The sequence below is a fragment of the Homo sapiens genome, chromosome 10 (genome assembly GCF_000001405.40).
Source record: "Homo sapiens chromosome 10, GRCh38.p14 Primary Assembly".
Lineage (NCBI taxonomy): Eukaryota > Metazoa > Chordata > Mammalia > Primates > Hominidae > Homo > Homo sapiens.
In genome coordinates this window covers 30766426-30787024 of record NC_000010.11, presented here as the reverse complement: position 1 = coordinate 30787024, position 20599 = coordinate 30766426, and the positions used below count along the sequence as shown (strand labels likewise).

The following is a 20599-nucleotide window of genomic DNA, read 5'->3' as shown; positions in this document are numbered from 1 at the left end:
GGGAATTCTGTCCCCTCCTCTTTCTTATTAGGTGAAGCCATGGTCAGGTGTGGTGGCTTACACTTGTAATCCCAGCATTTTGGGAGGCCAAGGTGGGAGGATCGCTTGAGGACAGGCATTCAAGACCAGCCTGGACAACACAGCGAGACCCCACTGCTAAAAGAATTGTTTTAAATTAGCCATGTGTGGTTAGTGCCCAACTGTAGCCCCAGCTACTCAGGAGGCTGAGGCTGGAGAATCACTTGAGCTCAGAAGTTTGAGGCTGCAGTGAGCTCTGATCACATTACTGCACTCCAGCCTGGCAACAATGTAAGACCTCATCTCCACAAAAAATGAAAATAAAAAATAGCTGAATGTGGTGGCACGCATCTGTAGTCCCAGCTACTCTGCAGGCTGAGGCTGCAGGATCCCTTGAGCCCAGGAGTTTGAGGCTGTGGATTGCACTACTGCACTCCAGCCTGGGCGACAGAGTGAGAGCCCATCTCTGAAAAGAAACAAAAGAAATAAAAAAGGTGAAGCCAACTCTGGGTCAGGAGCCCAGAGAGCTATCTGTCTCTGAAAGAAATTACCTTGCACCCACTTGAAATCAGGCTTGAGTTCATGCAGAAGATGCTCTTAGCCATTTCTGGCCAGCTCACCCCTGATTCATCCCCTACCCACAGGGCAGTCCCATGGTGGCAGTGAGTACCATGTGGCTGGCCCTCTGCTCTCAATTGGCTGGACCAGAGCTGGGCATGTGATCTAAGCTGGGCCAGCCCCATATTTTGTGCCTGAATTCTGGAGATGCAGTTTCAGGCTGGGCTCCCCTGTTGAATAGAGCAGATGTAAACTGAATTTTGTGCCTGAATTCTGGAGATGCAGTTTCAGGCTGGACTCCCCTGTTGAATAGAGCAGATGTAAACTGATAAACAGTGGCAGGACCATCTTCTGTCCTATGTGGACTGAGAAACAGGCCTTGAGGCAGTCAGTCGGCCAATAAAAACAAAGCAGCAGGAATATAGAAGAAAAGGTGAAAGAAGGAGGAAGAACTTTCTGAGCCTGGAGGTATCTCAGGCCCATGGGTCCATGAGCAAAGTCTCTATCCACAAAACAGAATTTTCTAGTTTGCTTAAACTAGTTCAAGTCCGTTTGTAAAATCTAAAATGTAAGGACCTTGATGGATACAGGAAGAAGTAGAAAAGGTTACCCTACAAGTTGCCACCCCTTGGGAACCTCAGAACCTGCTGGCTCCTGCAGAACTGGGAAACCTAAAAATTCTCATGCAGAGCTGGGGAAATAAGGCCGCAGGAGAGACCTCTTGGGACGTTTCACTAAGTGGAAAGGAGTTTCTCCAGCCTAACAGCCTCTTGTCATCTCAGAGCAAACGCAAAGAGCCCAGAGAGGTGGAGTGACTTCCCCGCGCGCCCCCACAGTCCATTGGCTTGGGGCTATAACCTAGGTCCCAGGGCCGCCCATCTGCAAGGCTGCCTGAAACCCCAAGCATGAACTCTCACTTGGAATTAGCATCCCTTTCCCACATTCGGCCCCTGGGAGCAGCGGCCAGGAGGGAGCTATCGGGAGAAGTAAGCTCGAGTTGCTAGGATGGCGACAAATGACGCAGCTAATTCTCCTCGCCTGACTGGTCCCCGCGCCCTGGGACCCCGTGTCCCCGCGCACAAGTGCGTGCTCGGGAGTCCGGCCCAGGAGCAGCTGCGGAGGCCGGGCGGCCCTGGGAAGATGCCTGGCGGGTTGTCGGGGGAGGGAGGAGAGGGTACTGGGCTCGGGGCCCCCACTCACCCACCCCTGCACCGCGGGGGGCGGCGCTGGGCGGCCCGGGGAGGGCCAGCCCCGCCGAGCCTTTCAGAGTTAATTAGCCTTCATGAATATGGATGCCACCGCCGATTGAAGACGGTTGAGAGGTCGTAACCTGACCTCGGCGAGGCGTGCATAAAGAAAAGCCTACTTTTCTCAGCTTGGCTCCTAATTGAAAGCCCGAGTGGTCGGGCGCAGCGCGGAGGGTGTGATCGCGCGCCCCGCTCCCTGCGCGCTCTGGGGACGGTGGCGGGGGCGCCCGGGCGAGCTCGGGGACCCGCAGGTGTGTGCGGGCGGCCCAGCGCAGCTTCGCCGCGGCGGGATCCGAAGTGGGGATTTATTCTGAAAGCTTTCCTTTTCCATGATGGTTTTCATTTCCTGTAATTTAGAGCTGGAAGCATTTATGGAATATCACATGGTTTTCGTTTACACAGGAAATCAGCTGCAGTTGTGAGAAGATACTGACTTACTTTTTTTTGTTTTTGAAATCCTCCTCCCCACATCCAAAAAAAAAAAAAAAAAAGAAAAATTTTTGAAAAGACGAGCTGGCAGCATGTTTTGAAATAGTTCTCCTTTTTGATCCAACCTCACTGTTCTCCAAAGGGGACTGCAGTTTATTTCTGACACGTGGTAATCACTTTATGTGAAGAAACCCCAGCATCGAGAGATGCTTTTGGTTTTTTTCAGAGCAAAGCGGGGAGCTCAGAGGGGGTGGGGGCAGGCGGGGGGAGAGGGGGGCGCTCACAGCTGCGCCCCAGCTTCCTTTCTGGGATGGGAACGATTTCTAAAGGATCTTAGGGAAAGGAGCCTGCGAACCAGGCCGCCTTTGGAGCTGAACTCCCTCCCTCCCCGAGAAAGACAGCACTTACTGCCCCAGTTAACCTGCTGGGATCACTGCTTAAAACCTTAGAGTCGTAGCGCCGTCCCCCAACCCAGGAATCACAGTATAAGTCTCTTCTTAACCCAGCCCCACCCCATCACCCCAGAAATCATCAGAGAACCGCAGGGTTTTATCACAGAGATTGAGGCCGAGGTGGAAGAATTTGCAATTTGTTTTTTTCATCTATGCCCCCTGGTTGCCACTGAGTTGAAGTCAGCACTCTCTTCTCTCTTTGCTGGGGATGGTTCTAACCACTTCCCACCCTCCACCCCCAGTTCGGAGGCCAACTAGACCGCCGTGGGCAATAGCACCACCGTGTGGCCAGCCTCCCTCTCCAAGCCCCTTCCCCTGCCTTTTCTGGGATCCTCCCGGGCGGTAGCGTGGATTTAGTGGGGCTGGGATGGTCTCTGCCCACTTTCTTCTCCTCCCTGCAATGAGGTTAACACACAGGGCACCAGACGCTCTCCCTTCATGCCATCTACTAAGTAAGACATTCTGCAATGACGGATCCGTTTCTTTGATTCAAGGCTTAGCTCCCAATTAAACAGAAGATACCCTTGAAGAGATAAAATTTAGGCACCGATTTTAGGGTGAAACAGTGTATTATTGTTTCCCAAGGATTGAGTGGGCTCCTAGAGAAAGGAAGGAGGCCCAGCCTGAGACCCAGAGGGACAGGAACCAGCGCTGTGGCCATCCTTCAAGCCCGGGCCCTAGTCATTCATTTGGTGGGACTGGGAGGAGGTAGGGTGGTGGCTCTGGGAGGTGGGTAGTGACAGAGTCCTGTACACATTTCAGGGGTGTGGAGGGAGCCTTCTGAGAATGTCCAGACCTCATGGGGCCTCTAGGACCCAGGTGGCCCTCGATGGTCACTGTGTCCCCAGCAGTTGAGACCCATTTGACAGAGTCTCAGGCAGCTGCACCGTGACCATCTTCTGCTCCTCTCCCCAAGTCGATAAAACCAACAGCCATCTGTGTGAACATAAGCCCCGTGTTTTTATGGGCTGTCTACTGGCTGCTGCAGACAAGCCAGGATGGAGGCTTACGGCCGCAGCTCTCTCAGCCTCCAAATATGAAACTGTGTAATCCGACTCATTCTCTGAAACCAAATATTTGCAGGGACAGCCAGCAGCCACCTGGCTACCACATCTTTTGACCATGCAGGTCATTGGTGCTGTGAAAACGCCACCTGGGGATTTTTCTCAGCTTCTGAGGGGTCCGCAGGCAAACCTCCCCTCCACGACACAGGGCAGCCCACCCTGGCCTCTCCTGCTGCCCCCCAATTGGGGTGTGCAGATGAAATCTCAGTCGGGCCTGTGAGCGGAATGAAAGAAACTCTGTTCATTTCTGCAGGGGCTCTGGTGTCTGTCTGAGGCCCTGGTTTCCTCCCAGGAAACTGCACTTACCTTCTGTTGCTTATTACCTAATTGATGAACTATTTGAGTCTGCATGGTGCTACTTTGAGCTTCCTTAGCTTGGCCACTAGCTGAGCATTAAGGAAGTTGTGGAGAGCAGTACCTTCATGCCCCGCGCAATGATTTGGTACATTTCCAGAACGATCTTCTCCTTGTCAGGCTTCCCTCCCTCCTGCTCAGCAGCCCTTATTTTTTCTCCTCTCTCTTTCTCTGGAAATGTGGAGTTTATTGGTCTCTGCAGGGGGGAAATGATCAAAAACGTAATTATTATAAGCTGCAACCCCTGGCCAGCTGTTTGGGTTTCAGGGTGGTTCCCAGTGAGTCACTAGGGCACACCCTCTCTCTGCCTGGCTCCTCTGGGTCCCCCTGGCTTGGCCATCTGGAAAATGGGAGGATTTTTTAAGGGAGGAGGACGTTTGGGGAAGAAAACAGGCGCCTGGGAGCCTCTCTCTCTCTCTCTCTGTCTCTGTCTCTCTCGCTCTCTCTCTTTCCTAACCCCACAAACTTCTGAGAAGCCCCATGTTCCTGGCCAAACATGGAACTGTCTGGAGGGACCTGGGCGGGCTGCAGGCCTAGGCCCCCACCCAGATGGCCGCTGTGCTGCCTCTCCTAGCAAAAGCCTTTGCTGGAAGGGTGAGCAACCAGGGCCTTCTGTACAGATGACTTTACCATCCCGGACACCATTTTAAATAGATCGACATTTCAATATGTATTTATTCTTGTTGTATATACAAAAAAATTAATACAAAATAAAAAAAGCCCTGCTGGTGATATGCCAGGCTGAGATATATAATGATATTTAGCAGCAACTGTGTCATTCTGTGTTGTTGACAGTAAAATAAATTAACATAATAAACATAATTTGCTCAAAAACAGCTAAGGAAAAGCAGATGGTTAGCACATTTCAGCAGGACCTGTTGGTCCAAGTTTGCACGGATGTTTAGACGTTTGTGCAGTCTGCAACAGATGCTTGCCTGGGTTCCCAGGCGCTCCCACGTGATAGGCACGGGAGGGCTCCACGCCTCTGGCCTGGGACAGGGCCACCGCACTGCAAAGAAATGGGGTCCCCAGGAAAGGGAGCTGCCATGTGCATTGCAGCCCCAGGCCAGGGCTGGCTCAGCGTGAAGAGTGGCAGAGGCACCAGGCTGGCTTTCCCGCCAGGCAGAGCTGGAGCCTGCAAGCGCCTGGGCCATTAGCATTCATGGCCTGTCGCCTGCCCAGCGCACATCCTTTGTGTGCCTGGAACAAGGGAGCTTTCTTCCAGGGAGGATGGCGCCGAGGCACTCCGGATCCTGCAGGCGAGCTTCCCAGTGGCAATGGGGACCAGTGGGCCTTGGCCCTCCCTTTGGTTCATGCACCCATAGCTCTGGAAAGAGAAGAAAATGTTATTTTTGCAGAAGATGCCTCAGTGCCTGGGAAGAAGAAGAGGGCTGTGGATTTATTTTATTCTGCAGATTGGAGGGGATAGGGCCTGCAGATCCCCAACATCAGGACCCCGGGGTCCCTGGCTCTACCAGGCAAATAGTCCATGTTAGTAGCCTCCTGGGAAGGAGCATTTTTCCTGAGGGCAGAGGTGAAGGCTGAGGCCCCCAGCGATGGGCGATGGCATTTCAACCTGTCCTTCTCAAACAGGGCAGAAAGAGGGACTCATGAGAAAGATGATGTTGGGATTTCTGCTCAGAAACCTCACTACCCCACCGAAGGAGGGCTGAGGGCTCCCTCCCACCCAGCACTGGGATGCCAGGGCAGGTCACTGAAAAGGGCAGCCCTTCCTGGAGTTTGGATGCAGCTCCAAAAGCTCCTGGGAATTCCCGTGCTGCCTGAGCAGTGCTGTAGGCAAAGCCCCCATGGTCCATACTTGAGAGTTCAGATATAGGCTAGACATGGTTTCTGGTAGAAAGGAGCTTATTATTATTATTATTATTATTATTTTTAGAGATGAAGTCTCAGTCTGTCTGTCACCCGGGATGGAGTGTAGTGGTGCCATCATAGCTTGCTGCAGCCTCCCACGTCTGGGCTCAAGCAGCCTTCCCCACCTCAGCCTCCCAAGTAGCTGGGACCCCAGAAACCCTGGGACCCCACACCTGGCTAATTTTGCTGTGTGGTTTGTGCTTGCACCGGTGCCTCGGCCTCCCTTTGTAGGTCTCCTTGCCACGTTGGGACCCTCCCCGCGGGGCTCACCCGCCAGAGGGGCTAGAAGCAGGGACCCCAGAAACCCCAGGACCCCACACCTGGCTAATTTCAAAAAAAGTTTTTTTAGAGATGGGGGTCTCACTGTGTTGCCTGGGCTGGTCTCCAGCTCCTGGCTTCAAGAGATCCTCCCACTTCAGCCTCCTGAGTTTCTGGGATTACTGATGCACACTACCATGCCCCACCTGCTAGAAAAGAGTTTAGAGTAGGAGACCCAACTGGATATAAAATAGCTGGAAAGACAGATGCCCTGTTGTAGGACAGGTTAAGCATCTGTAGCTCCACCACAGAGCTGTTAGCATGGCACAGTTGCCCGGTCTGAGTCTGGGATCCTGGCAATAGGTGTGCTTAGCACCACGCCTGGTATGTGCCACGTGCCCACTAAATGGTAGCGGTTGTTAACCCTGACTGCTGCGTCGAAGACAGTTTCATGGGAAGAACAGCTTGCCCCCTGCGTCCAGAGGACAATTAGACCTTTTCCAAGTGTCTAACAGGCCCCTCAAACATGGCCAAGACTTGAGGATCTGGCCCCAGTTCATCCCTTATGGAGTCATCCCACCTCTGGAAATACCCCTGCCATCTATCCTGATGTTCAGCCAAAAACTGGAGGCCATTTTTTCCTTCTCTCTTTTGCCAACCCCCACATCAGATCTCATCAGCAAGCCTTGTCAACTCTACATCCAAAAAGCATGCTGCATCCCCCAACTCACCATCTTCCCCTTGCTCTACCACAGCCGTGGTTCAAGCCACCTTACTCTCTCCAGTTCCTGAGCAGCTGCTGATGGATTTGCTCCACTCGAAGCCCTATAATCAGAGCGTGCTGATTAAAACCCCACTCTGTCAGGCCAGGCTCTCTGGGAAGCAGAAGGCAGGATGCAGTTGGAAAGGAAAGGAGTTTACCAGGGGAGACCTGCAGAGTATGCAGAAGAGAGGAAGCACAAGGAGGCAGGGAGAGCCTTCAGACCAGCATGTGGGTCTGACCCCCGGAGAAGAGAGAGCTGAAGGAAAGAAGAGAGGGTAGGAAGAGCTTCAGGCCACACTGCAGCTCTGAGAAAGCCCAGCCAGACCAGCAAGGAGCTTCCCAACGGAGTCCGGGCTCATGCACCCCCGTAGAGATTGGTCTTTGGGCGGAGTATGGCCGCAGGTCGAACACTGCAGGAGGATCTTGGTGGCACTGCACTTGGAGGCTGTCCACTGCCTGCTCTGGTCCCAGCAGGTCCTCTCTTGAAGTGGGAGCTGAGCAGTGCCCCCATGGCTCCCACATTCACCATTGGGTTCCCCTTGCCCTTGGGGCAATATAACCTGGCTCACAGAACTCCTACCTACCTTAGTGCCCTCACCTTCCCCGCCCTGCAGTGGGGAAGTGCTCCAACCCCAGATCCTCAAACAAGCCAAACTTCTCCCAATGTTATGGCTTTTCTGTCTGTGTAGATCATTGATCTCCTTATTCCTCCAATGGCTGGCTTCTTCCTGCAATTCAGATCTCAGTTCAGTGTCAGCAGAGCCTTCCCTGGATCTTCCACTCTTATGCACCACCCAATCATTCTCTTTCATAGCATCTTATTTCAGTCTTGCAGAGCCTTTATCATTGTCTGATTTTCTTCCTCCTCCTTCTCTTCTTCTTCCTCCTCCTCCCTTCCCCTCCTCCCCTTCCTCCTCCCCTCCTGCTCTTCCTCCTCCTTCTTCTTCTTATCCTTCTCATTCTCCTCCTCCCCTTCCTCCTTCCCTCCTCTTCTTCCTCCTACTCCTTCTTCTTCTTATCCTTCTCCTTTTTCTCCTTCTCCCTCTCTTTCTCCTCCTTCCTCTTCTTCCTCTTCCTCCTCCTCCTCTTCTTCTTCCTCCTCTCCTTCTTCCTCTCCTTCTTATTCGCCTTCCTTTCCTCTTCTTCCCCTTCTCCTCCCTCTCCCTCTTCTTTTCTTTCTCCTTCTCATTCTTTCTTTCTCCTCCTCCTCTTCTTCTTCATCTTCTCCTTCCTCTTCCTCCTCCTCTTGTTCTTCCCCTTCCCCCCTCCTTATCCTTCTTCTTCTCCTTCTCCCCTTTCTCCTCTTCCTCCTCGTCCTTCTCCCCCCATCCTCCCACTCCTCATTCTTTTCATATGTGTGTATTCAATGTCACTTTTGAGATCAGAGGCCTTCTCCGACTTGTTATCACTGTGATCCTAAAACAGTACTTAATACACAGCAGGCACACAAACACAGGAATACACAGGTGCAAATGCAAGACCTGCAAAAGCTGGAGCACCAGGATTTAGTAGTTGAGTGTTCTGGGCAAGGTTCTGGCAACTTTTCAGATACAAAGAATTGGGTGCTGAAGGTTTGCAGGCTTCTACTCTGCTCTCCTGGGTGCCTTAGGCAAATCTAATAGGAAAACACAGGGTGCCACACACTGAAGGTATCTAAACCTTTATCAGTTCTTTTTCTGTTGATTATACCAGACTACCTGAAACTGCATAATTTACAGAGAAAAATATTATTACTTCTGAGAAGTCCAAAGTCAAGGGACCACATCCCGTGGGGGTCTTCGAGCTGGTGGGGACTCTGCAGAGTCCCAAGGCAGCACAGGGCATCCCATGGTGTGCTCATTATATGGCTGGTGTCCTAACATGCTATACTCAAGTCTTTCTGCCTCTTCTTATAAAGCCTCCAGGTCCACTCCCATAATAACCCATTAATCCATCAATCCTTTAATCCATTATGAAAGCAGATCCCTTATGATTCCATTACCCCTCAATACCGCCAAATTAGGGATTAGGTATCAACATGAGTTTTGGAGGGGCTGTTCAAACCATAGCAATCTTTTAGGGCTGTTAGCCTAACAACTAATGGGATGTGTAGACATGCTAAGGAGGGATGGATCAGAACTTCTTTCCTCAACAGCCCTTCTCTCACAGTAGCTTTTGAAAATCCTTTAGCATAAAAGGTTTGCTTTTGTTGTCTAACTCAAGAGATAGTTTCACCTGTTGGTAATTTAGTTATCAGTGGATTTGGTTCTAGAACATTCTAGTATTGCTTATGGTCTAAATGTTAGTGTCCCCCCAAAATTCATATATTGGAACCTAATGCTCAATGTAATAGTATTGAGAGGCAGGGCCTTTTGGGAAGTGATCACATCATGAGGGTTCCGCCTGCATGAATGGGATTAGTTCCCTGATACAAGAGGTTGAAGGGAGCTTCCTGGCTCTTCTGCCATGTGAGGACACAGCAAAAGGCACCATCTATGAAGTGGAGAGCAAGCCCTCTCCAGACACCAGATCTGCTGGTGCCTTGATCTTGGACTTCCCAGCCTCCAGAACTGTTACCAATAAATTTCCGTTGTTTATAAATTACCCAGTTGAAGGTATTTTTTTACAGCCGCCCAAACAGACTAGAACAAGTAATTTGCCCTGTGGACTTGAGCAAGTCACTGAATCTCTCTCTAAGCTTGTTTCTCCAGCGGCAAACTAAAGGAATGTTTATTTCATTTTTTCTATGTCTTCATGGATAAAGGGAAGATGTGTGAACATTTTATGGGATGCTACTTTTGGGAAGCAGGATCTCATGTATTCTCCCAATCTCATTGCCCTATTGAGGTGGCTGCCATTCTGCCTCTATCTTAATCCTTTCCTAGGGCAGTGGTGGAGATGGGGTAAGAGCTGGACAATAGAGACGGGGAAGAACAAGTCCCCTCCCATGCCAGACTTAAGTTGCTGCAGAGAGAGATACACTCTTCTTTCTTTATTTTTCTTTTCTTTTTTGTTTTTTGTTTTTTGTTTGATTTTTAGAGATAGAGTCATGCTCTATTGCCCAGGATGGAGTGCAGTGGTCTGACCCTAGCTCATTGTAACCTTGAACTCCTGGGTTCAAGCGATCCTCCTATCTCAGCCTTCCAAGTAGCTAGGATTACAAGTCATACAACTAATGCTCGTTATTGCTTTTATTTTTTAATTTTTTGGTAGAGGCAAGGTCTCACTATGTTGCCAAGGCTGATCTCGAACACCTGGCCTCAAACAATCCTCTTGCATCAGCCTCTCAAAGCACTGGGATTATAGGTGTGAGCCACTGCCCCCAGCCTTGAGCTATACTTTTCCAGCATAATTCTTATTTTGTGGGGGCAGTGGGAGGGTCATTCTCTACAAAGTCTTCTTTCTGATATTTACAAATAAATGTTTCCAATTAATATTTATATACCTAAACAAGTAAAACCTCCCCACTGGAACCAAACCCAGCAACAGCCTTAAAAACCCTGAAATTTCCAATTATCCCAAATCCTCTTGACTAGCAGAACACAGCCCTCTCAGCACTGTATGTGCTGTACTAGCGAATCATCCCAAAACTATTACAAAAATCTCAGCCGGGCCGTGGCAGCTGCAGCACAGATGTTCTGCATAGTGGCAGGAGCATTGTTCAGTATCAATAAACACCACCTCTGAGACATAAAACGTGAGAGTTGAGCTAGAAATGGTGATAACAAGAGCCATGAAGACCATTTGCAGGGAAATGGAGTGAGACCCAGGGCTGAGAGGGAACCCCTCCCTCTCCGTGCAGGATGCCCAATTTCAGAGCATGCTGTGATGGGAGCACTAAGGGCTGCCTGGCCCAGTCTCGGATCTGAGTGCTTAATGGCCAGTTTGCTCTTTGAGAGGGGTACCCAGAGCCCAGTGCTATACCTATACCCCACAATTTGTGGTTCCCAAGCCCTGAGCCCACCCTCTGGTGTTTGTCCGCCTAAAGATGTAACTCTGCAAGTGCTGGTTTCTGAAGCGGCTCACGCTGTCCTCAGCTCCAGATGTTGTGGGCTGGCTGTAGCCAGTTTAAAAGCAGTAACTCCTGGCCAGGCATAGTGGCTGACACCTGTAATCATAGCAGTTTAGGAGGCCGAGGCAGGCAGATCACTTGAGGTCAGGAATTCCAGACCAGCCTGGCCAACATGGTGAAATGCTGTCTGTACTAAAAATACAAAGACAACAAAGCTGGGCACAGTGGAAGCCTGTAGTCCCAGCTACTTGGGAGGCTGAGGCACAAGAATCGCTTAAACCTAGGAGGTGGAGGTTGCAGTAAGCTGAGATTGTGCCACTGCACTCCAGCCTCTTCTTCTGGGCCACTCAGGAGAAAATAGGGGATCGGGGCAGAGGTGTTGGCCTGGGCTTCTTGTCCCTCTGATCTTTGACCAGATTCCCATATGTGCGTGTGCCTGCCTGTTTTCTTAGCACTCGTTGAGATATTTCCAGGCCTTATAGAGTTCTCAAGGTGTCACCTCCATTCTCAGAAGACAGGTGCAGCACCTGGAGCCCTGCCCCCTCGTCTGGGCAGGTGTGCTAAGCAGGTGGTGCATCCCCAAGACAGCACCTATTCCTCCCTTCTGAGCACCTCTGCCTCAGGTGAGGCATGCACTGGGGATTCCAGGCTTTCAGGCTTATTAGATTAAATGAGATTGAATTATTAGTGAGACTGGAGGCCGAGGCTGGGCTTGAGGGGAGATCAAGGTTTTGGTGCTGGGCATGGATTGGCTTAAGCCAGAAGCTTCCTCTCCTGGCTCCTGCTAACTGCTCTGAGAATACACATAGGTATTGGAGCCACCCTCCTGGCCCCTGGCCTCACCCCGGGGCCTCACCTTGGGCCTAGAGCTGCGGTGCCCCTTCTTGATCTGTTGCCAAACACCAGCCTTAACCAGGGCTCCGTCAGCCTCTCGGCGTGTGTCCTTTGGGCAGCTGAGGGAACACACCATAACACAAGCGTTTTCCCGAGCCTTTTCAGATTAATAACTGCCATTTAAAAACAATTAGAAGTGATTGATAATTAATTTCAGAAATAGCCCTTGCCAAATAACTCATTAAATGGAATCTCCCTGGTGCCAGTTCTGCTCACTGTCAGGCTTTCAGCCCTCGGGAAAAGGATGCTGAGTTTGATCAAAGTTTCCAGTCGGAATCGTTGCCATCGCCGGCTGCTTTTGTGATCCCTGGGCCATCTGATGTCCCAGCAGAGTCTGGACTCTGCAGGGAACCTGCAGGCTGGGATTGTGGGTCAAGGTAGGGGAGGGTTCCCGCAAGGAGTTGTGGGGAGGGTTTGTGTCTCTCCTTCAGGGACTCAAAGCAAAGCTGAGAAATTCTCCTTTCTATGCGTGTGTCTTCCTGGTCTCTGCTTCCAATTGCTGGGCAAAATGCTGATATGAGAATAAAAATCCAAGCGGCCGGGGCATCTTTCCAATCGTTCAGCATCAGCCCATGGGTAAAGTGGCAGCTGATGCTCCCTGGGGTCTGTGGTTCGCCTGGCAGGATGGGCTATGGGCTTCTGTCCTCTGGAAATTTCTGGCAGGACAGTGATCCTCTGAAGATGGACTTACACCACCAAGTGTCTGCTGACTGGGCGGGTGAGAGTGTGAAATGGGGCTCCACGGAGCTCTGTGGGAGACAGAAAGGAGTGGCGTGGCGGACAACCATTTTCTTCCTTCTCTTTCCAGCTTGGCCAGCGGTTGGCTCTGTTTGTGCCAGATACTGCTTTGCTGTGCCTCCTGGAAGCAAGGCCCCTGTCACTAGCGAGACCCCAGAGACACAAAGAGCTGTGACACAGGCCCCCCGCTTGGGCAGCTCCTGGTCCAGCTGGAGAAATAAGATGTATGCATACGTGAGGAATCAAAACAACAAATGCCCTCCATTGAGGACACCCATTGTGATGTCCCTTGAGGGGTTTGGGTTCTGCTAAAAGTTCAAGAGAGGAAGAAAGCCCGTACTTTGTGATCCTGGAAATTCTTCACACAGGAAATCAGATTTGAGCTTTGTCCTAAAAGCATGGTAGGATTTGGAAGAAGGTGTGTGTGTGTGTCTCTCTGTGTGTCTCTGTGTGTGTATATGTGTATGTGTGTGTGTCTGTGTTTGTATATGTCTATATCTGTGTGTGTATGCATGTGTCTGTATGTGTGTGTATCTGTGTATGCCTGTGGGTATCTGTGTATGCCTGTGTGTATATGTGTTTGCCTGTATGTCTATGTGTGTATGTGTGTGTGCCTGTGTGTCTGTGTGTATGTGAGTCTGTGTGTGTATGTGTTTCTGTTTATGTGTGTATGTGTCTGTGTGCATGTGTGTCTGTGTGTATACATATGAGTGTCTGTGTGTATGTGTGTGTGTCTGTGTGTATGTGTGTGTATGTGTATGTGTGTGTAAGTGTGTATGTGTGTGTGCATGTGTGTATGCGTATGAGTGTGTGTATGTGTGTGTCTGTGTGTATGTGTATATGTGTGTGTATGTGTGTGTGTCTGTGTGTATGTGTGTGTATCTGTGTGTCTGTATGCATGTGTGTGTCTGTGTGTATGTGTATGAGTGTCTCTGTGTGTGTCTGTGTATATAAGTGTGTGTCTGTCTATGTGTGTCTGTATGTGTCTGTGTGCATGTGTGTGTCTCTGTGTGTGTATGTGTATGAGTGTGTGTATATGTGTTTATGTGTGTCTGTGTATATACGTGTGTGTCTGTGTGTATATGTGTGTGTGTTTATATGTGTGTATGTGTGACAGGGATAGAGAAGTATAAGTGCCCATGGGGACAGCACAGGGTGCGTCAGGGTTGTGGGTTCACCTGTTGGGGGGGTGTGAGGAATGGTGGGAATCCGGCTGGAGAGGTGGGTCAGGGTCAGCCCATGGAGGGCCTTGGAAGGTGGACTTTAATCTGACAGAAACCTTGTTTGGAAGGAAGTGATGAGATCAGGATGTGATTCCAGGGCTCTTTCACTGGAAGGGACCATAGAGAAGCGTCTGCCAGCCTGATGTGTGATGCATCAGGGCACTCTGGCTATGGGGCGCAGGATGGATTATTGACATGCACAACAGTCTCCTCAATCTGCAACTCTGAGCTACTGAAGGACACACTGCACCCCCAAAAGCTACTGTTCAGTATTACGCTACAAATGACATAAAAACCTAAAATAATAATGCCTTAAGGTTTATTTGTTCTCACATTCTGAAAGTTCAGGGGTTGGCAGTTTAGAGATGATATGGTATTCTGTGGCCCTGGCGATCCATATGCTTCCAGCTTGTGGATCTGCAGTGCATGCCTTTTATTCCCAACAGCTTCTCATGGTCCACGATGGCTGCTGCAACTCCAGCCTTCACGTTCCCATTCCAGGCAACAGGAAGGAGGAAGGGATGAAGCAGGAAGAGAATGGAAGACTAAACAGGGTCATCAATTCCTTCACACTTTTTCCATTGACAAGTGGAGTCTATGTCTCCTCATCTTGAATCTGTCTGTGACTACTTGGTTCACTGGAAGGTGGCAGAAGTGATGTTACACCAGTTTCCAAGTTCATGTCTTAAGAAAATGGCAGCTTCCACACTCTTTAGGAACATTCTCTCTGGAAACCGTGAGGTGCCATGTGATGCACCTGACCACCCTTCCAGCCATCCCCATTAAAGTGCCAGGGATGTGCATGAAGCCATCTTGGCCCCTGTAGACCAGCCCATCCATCATCTATCACCAAGTGACCTCAGTAGAGGAAAAAATCATATCACCTCTTTGAGTCCTAGCCAAGTTTCTGACCCAGAAAATTGTGAAAAACAGTAACAATGACTGGCATTTTAAACCACTAAGTAATGGAATTTTGAACGTTAAGTTTTGCAGCAATAGATAACCTGAAGAGAATTTGCTAGATGGAAGTGGATTGCTGCTATAACAGAAACCTAACACATGGCCTTGGTTTTGAGATGAGGCACTGGGCAAAAGCTGAGGGGACCTCATGAAGATAGTTTTTTGTTGTTTTGTTTTGAGACAGGGTCTCATTCTGTTGCCCAGACTGGCATGCAGTGGTGCAATACTGGTTCAGTGCAACCTCCATCTCCCAGGCTCAAGCAATTCTCCTGCCTCAGCCTCCCAAGTAGCTGGGATTACAGGCATGTGCCACTACCACCTGGCTAATTTTTTTTTTTTTGTACTTTTAGTACAGATGGGGTTTCACCATGTTGCCCAGGCTGGTCTGAAACTCCTGACTTCAAGTGATCCAGCCGCCTCGGTCTCCCAAAGTGCTGGGATTACAGGTGTGAACCACCATGCCCGGCCAAAGATTGTTAATAAAAGCTGGAAGGACTCCAAAGATTCTGTTCACAAGAGCTTAGAGGAGAGTGAGGAAAACATCACTGGAGGCTGAACAGAAAGCTTGGACACACTGTCACCTGTGGTAAACTGGAAAATAGGAAAGTACCTGATGAACTCAGAGGTCTTCAGAGAAGAATCCAGGCAGAGATAGAAGACACTGCTGGCTTCTCATACCTGCCTATGATAAGCTATAGGAAGAAAGAGTGAACTAAGGAAAGAACTACCAGGGTGCAGAGCAGAGCTCAGAGCGAGTGCAAAGGAGCCAGGACCTTCCGGGTGTGATAACAAACCTGTTTCTCATCTCCATCCTGTCTCAGCAAAAGTGTCACAGTAAGAAATGGCTTCAGGACAAAGATCAAATCTTTGTACAGAATGACCTTGGAGTGAAGATTTCATTGAGTATGACTGTAAGACTTTAATAACTGCCAAAATATTTAAGGATATGATATGCCTGGATACTGGAAGGTGGGGGCTTCTAAGAGTCTTAAAGGCATGCTTTACAGACTTTCTCAGACAATACAGCTTTAAAGAATTTAAATGCTATTAGCATTGCTCACAATAGCTTTGCCTATTGCTAAAGGTGGAGAAAGATCTGACATGGAAAGAAATGTGACTTTTCTTTAATGGAATTGACCACTGATTGGTATATGGGTAACCCACGAAGTTTTTAAGGGAATTGTATCAGCTTGGACTAAAAGGATAAATGTAGTACAAAATGAATTTTATCCTGCTGGAATGTTGAGCCTTTTATTTCCAACAGCTTCTCATGGTCCAAGATGGCTGCTGCAACTCCAGTCTTCACATTTCCATTTCAGGCAACAAGAAGGAAGAAGGGATGAAGCAGAAGAAGTATGGAAGACTAAAGAGAACCATCAATTCCTTGACACTATTTCTATTGACAAGTGGAGTCTATGTTCCCTCCTCCTGAATCTGTGACTACTTTGTCCACTGGAAGATGGCAGAAGTGATGTTATACCAGTTTCCAAGCTCAAGTCTTAAGAAAATGGCAGCTTCCACACTCTTTAGGAACATTCTCTCTGGAAGCCATGACCTGCCATGTGATGCACCTGACCACACAGCTAACAACATTCCAGCAGGAATCCAGCTCAGCTGGGAACAGTCTGAGAAGAATACTTCTCTGTGAAGACTTCTTATTTCTTATTTCTTTTTTCAGCTGCCATTTCTTATGAAGAAACTGTCAGGAGCCACTGGGAGTCACTCCCAGAAAGCAAGATTTTGCTTTAATCAAGGAACTGGAGACATGGGCTTGACTGGATTTCCAAATTGCTATGTACCAATCATGGCTAATGCCTCCTTTCCCTGTCTCTTTTGAATAAACAGTGTTAATTGGAGTTTCCCTATCCAGCTATTACCATTGTCGTTAAATGGAGTGTGGGGTGGTAGGGACATGTCATTATTTCTCTACCTCGCAGGTCTTCAGAACAGGCAGAACCAGACTTGTGGAGCTGCTCCTGAAGAAACACACCCAGATGGACCTGGACCTGCTCTAGGAAATAAGATCCTGGACCTTGAACCTGAGCCTGAAGCTGTAATGGGAAGAGACTTGGAAAGGGGAGAGAGTCTTTGTATTTCATATATGGAAATAATGTAAATAATTTTCCATTATTGACAGAGGGCAGCCTTGGTGGATTAAACAGAAGAGTGAGTTCTTTGACACCCACTATGCTTGGGATGTGGATCCCAAACTAACTGGATTTGATGGTGAGAGGTGACAAAGTGCTAGCAGCCCTTGCTCACTCTCGGCACCTCCTCAGGCCACAGTGTCCACTGTGGCCACGCTTGAGGAGCCCTTCAGCCTGCTGCTGCACTGCGGGAGCCCCTCTCTGGGCTGGCCAAGGCCGGAGCCAGCTCCCTCTGCTTGCAGGGAGGTGTGAAGAAAAAGACATGGGTGGGAACTGGGGCTGTGCGCAGCACTCGCAGGCCAGCATGAGTTCCGGATGGGTGCGGGCTCAGTGGGCCCTGCACTCGGAGCGGCTGGCCGGCACTGCCAACCCCGGGCAGTGAGGGGCTTAGCACCTGGGCCAGCAGCTGCAGAGGGTGCGCCGGGTCCCCCAGCACTGCCGACCTGCCCACACCACACTTGAATTCTCACTGGGCCTCAGCTGCCTCCCCAAGGGGTAGGGCTCTGGACCTGCAGCCCGCCATGCCTGAGACCCCTCATGGTGGGCTCCCACGTGGCCTGAGCCTCCCCAACAGGCACTGCCCCCTGCTCCATGGAGCCCGGTCCCATCAACCACCTAAGGGCTGAGGAGTGCAGGCGCTGTGGCGCAGGACTGGTGGGCAGCTCCGCCCGTGGCCCTGGCATGGGATCCACTAGGGGAAGCCAGCTGGGCTCCTGAGTCGGGTGGGGACTTGGTGAACTTTTATGTCTAGCCGGAGGATTGTATATGCATCAATCAGCACTCTGTGTCTAGCTCAGGGTTCGTGGATGCACCAATCAGCACTCTGTATCTAGCTAATCTGGTGGGGACTTGGAGAACTTTTATGTCTAGCTAAAGGATTGTAAATGCACCAATCAGCACTCTGTGTCTAGCTCAAGGTTTGTAAACGCACCAATCAGCACCCTGTGTCTAGCTCAAGGTTTGTAAGCTCACCAATCAGTGCTCTGTGTCTAGCTAATCTAGTGGGGACTTGGAGAACTTTTACATCTAGCTAGAGGATTGTAAATACTCCAATCAGCATTCTGTGTCTAGCTCAGGGATTGTAAACGCACCAATCAGCACCCTGTCAAAATGGACCAATCAGCTCTCTGTAAAACGGACTAATCAGCTCTCCATAAAATGGACCAATCAGCTCTCTGTAAAATGGGCTAATCAGCAGGATGTGGGTGGGGTCAGATAAGGGAATAAAAGCAGGCTGCCCGAGCCAGCAGCGGCAACCTGCTCGGGTCCCCTTCCACACTGTGGAAGCTTTTTTCTTTTGCCCTCTACCATGACTCTTGCTTCTGCTCACTCTTTGGGTCCACACTGCCTTAAAGAACTGTAACGCTCACCGTGAAGGTCTGCAGCTTCACTCCTGAAGCCAGCGACACCACGAACTCAGCAGGAGGAATGAACAACTCTGGACGGGAGGAACGAACAACTCCAGACGATCCGCCTTAAGAGCTGTAACACTCACCGCGAAAGTCTGCAGCTTCACTCCTGAAGCCAGTGAGACCACGAACCCACCAGAAGGAAGAAACTCTGAACACATCGGAACATCAGAAAGAACAAACTCCGGACACACCATCTTTAAGAACTGTAACACTCACCGCGAGGGTCTGCAGCTTCATTCTTGAAGTCAGCAAGACCAAGAACCCACCAATTCCGGACACAATGGGGTTGCATTTGAGGCAACTTTATAGCCCAGTTTAAATGTAAATGAAAGCATTATAGGTTAATCCTTGAGGTCTATCAATAATATAGATCTTCAGTTCTAGAAAATCCAAGCTGGGCTCTGAGAGTCGTAAGTCAACAACATTGCATACAGAAGAAACAGAGAGAGAGAGAGAGAATCACCAAACCGAAGAATGACGGATGGACTTCACTGTGGTATGAAGGTAAAATATAAAACGAAATTAAAAAAAAAAGAGTGACCAAGCCCCAGGTCTGCGTGTGCCCAGCTCAGCTTTCCACTGGGGCTCCAGGGGGTGCCCCTCACTGGGGAAGGTGACTCAACCTAATAGACCCTGCTTTGATCGTTGAGGAACCGCATACATGGAAGTCCAGCAGCAGGGGTTTGAGAGCTGCAGGCAGGAAGCAGAGAGCTAGGGAGCAGGTAATGAGATGGGGTTCCTGCTATGGGCTGGGGTTTCCAGCCCCCCTGAGCTGTTCCCACGGGAGGCCCCATGTGAAGCACCACATGGAGGTTGCCCCGGGGCTGGGGACCTTTGTGTAACCCTGCCACGAAGTCCTCTTCTGTTCCATCACTCTGTACTCTCACCTTATGTTTTTCTTGTAGCTCTCTGGCTGCACCAATTTTTTTTTGAGACAGGGTCTTGCTGTCACCCAGGCTGGAGTGCAGTGACACAATCATAGCTCACTGCAGCCTCAAACTTCTGGGCTCAAGTGATCCTCGTGCCTCAGCCTCTCGAATAGCTAGGACCACAGCAGGCACGCCCCTCTCCCTGCTAATTGTGTGTGTGGTGTGTCTGTGTTTGTAGAGATGGGAGCCTTGCTATGTTGTCTATACTAGTCTGGAACTCCTGGCCTCAAGCGTTCCTTCTGCCTTGGTCTCTCAAAGTGCTGGGATTACAGGTGTGAGCCACCATGCCCAGTCCTGCACCCAATTTTATCTGCTCTTCTGTTCTTCTAAATTAATGCTAATCTCGGTGTCCAAGCCACTGTTTAGAAATGATGATTACACCAAGATTCCAAGTCACGGCCTATGTGAATTCCACTGTGGAGGAGGGTGATCACATGCAGGAGACAATCCCTGAATGCTGTTTTAGCCACTTTGGCCCAGAAATTCCCTGTTGCACACTCTCCATTTGCCAGAAATTTGGTTACTTGTTTAAACTCTTAAGTAACTGAACTAAATGGATTCTATTACATACAATCATAATTGCTTCAAATTAAACAATAAAAACGTTTTACTGTTTTTCTACACCCTAGGTATTATAAAGAAAGTGTAAAGCAAAGGGTGCCAGTTTAAGCGCCTGGAGCTAAGGTTCCTTTTGGGGAGAAAAGCTGGAGTTGTCAAATATGCAGATGCGAGTGGTGGTTGTTTTTCCCTATTGTGGAAGTGTGACAACCCAGGACTGTGGCCACAAAGGAAAGATGGAGGAGAACGAGGAGGCGGGAGAGCTGTTCCTGCTAGCAAGCGGTCGCGTTAAGAATTGGCCCACAAGTCTGGTCTTTATTTTGCCTTCATAATTTTTTCCTAAAATGAACAAATGCCCTGCTATAGAAATGCCAAGCATTTTCCAAATGACATTTCAGGTGGAGTCCATTGAACTGCATTTCTGAAAAAGTACTTAAAACCGAACTTCAGAAGCAGATGTCAGCATTTTGGACCCTCCTGACATGATTAAAGGTGCAGGTGGCAGCTGGCGCTGGGGAGGGGACAGGGCGGGAGCTGGCACAGGCCAGGAGGCAACACGGTTCATCATTCTCCCTAAAACAACCAGCACAGTTAAGGAAGTTGGGGAAAGAAGGGCCATAAACTTGAAAACACACATTTTTACTTAAAATTAGGTGTGAGCTCCCATTATAACAGGTAAACAAATGATCCCAGGCTGCCACTGCTGAAGAAACTCCCCTCCCTCTGCCAGCT

General features: G+C 49.7%; 2 annotated features.

The window, feature by feature from the left end:
* Nucleotides 1583-1892: a silencer, noted in NCBI's record as "silent region_2270". NCBI's record gives its function as "represses an Ori minimal core promoter by ATAC-STARR-seq in GM12878 lymphoblastoid cells {active_cell/tissue: GM12878}" and the evidence as "EXISTENCE:reporter gene assay evidence [ECO:0000049][PMID:35858748]".
* Nucleotides 3379-3879: an enhancer, noted in NCBI's record as "H3K4me1 hESC enhancer chr10:31072075-31072575 (GRCh37/hg19 assembly coordinates)". NCBI's record gives its function as "activates a minimal SCP1, AML or CMV promoter by ChIP-STARR-seq in naive H9 embryonic stem cells {active_cell/tissue: H9 hESC(naive)}" and the evidence as "EXISTENCE:reporter gene assay evidence [ECO:0000049][PMID:30033119]".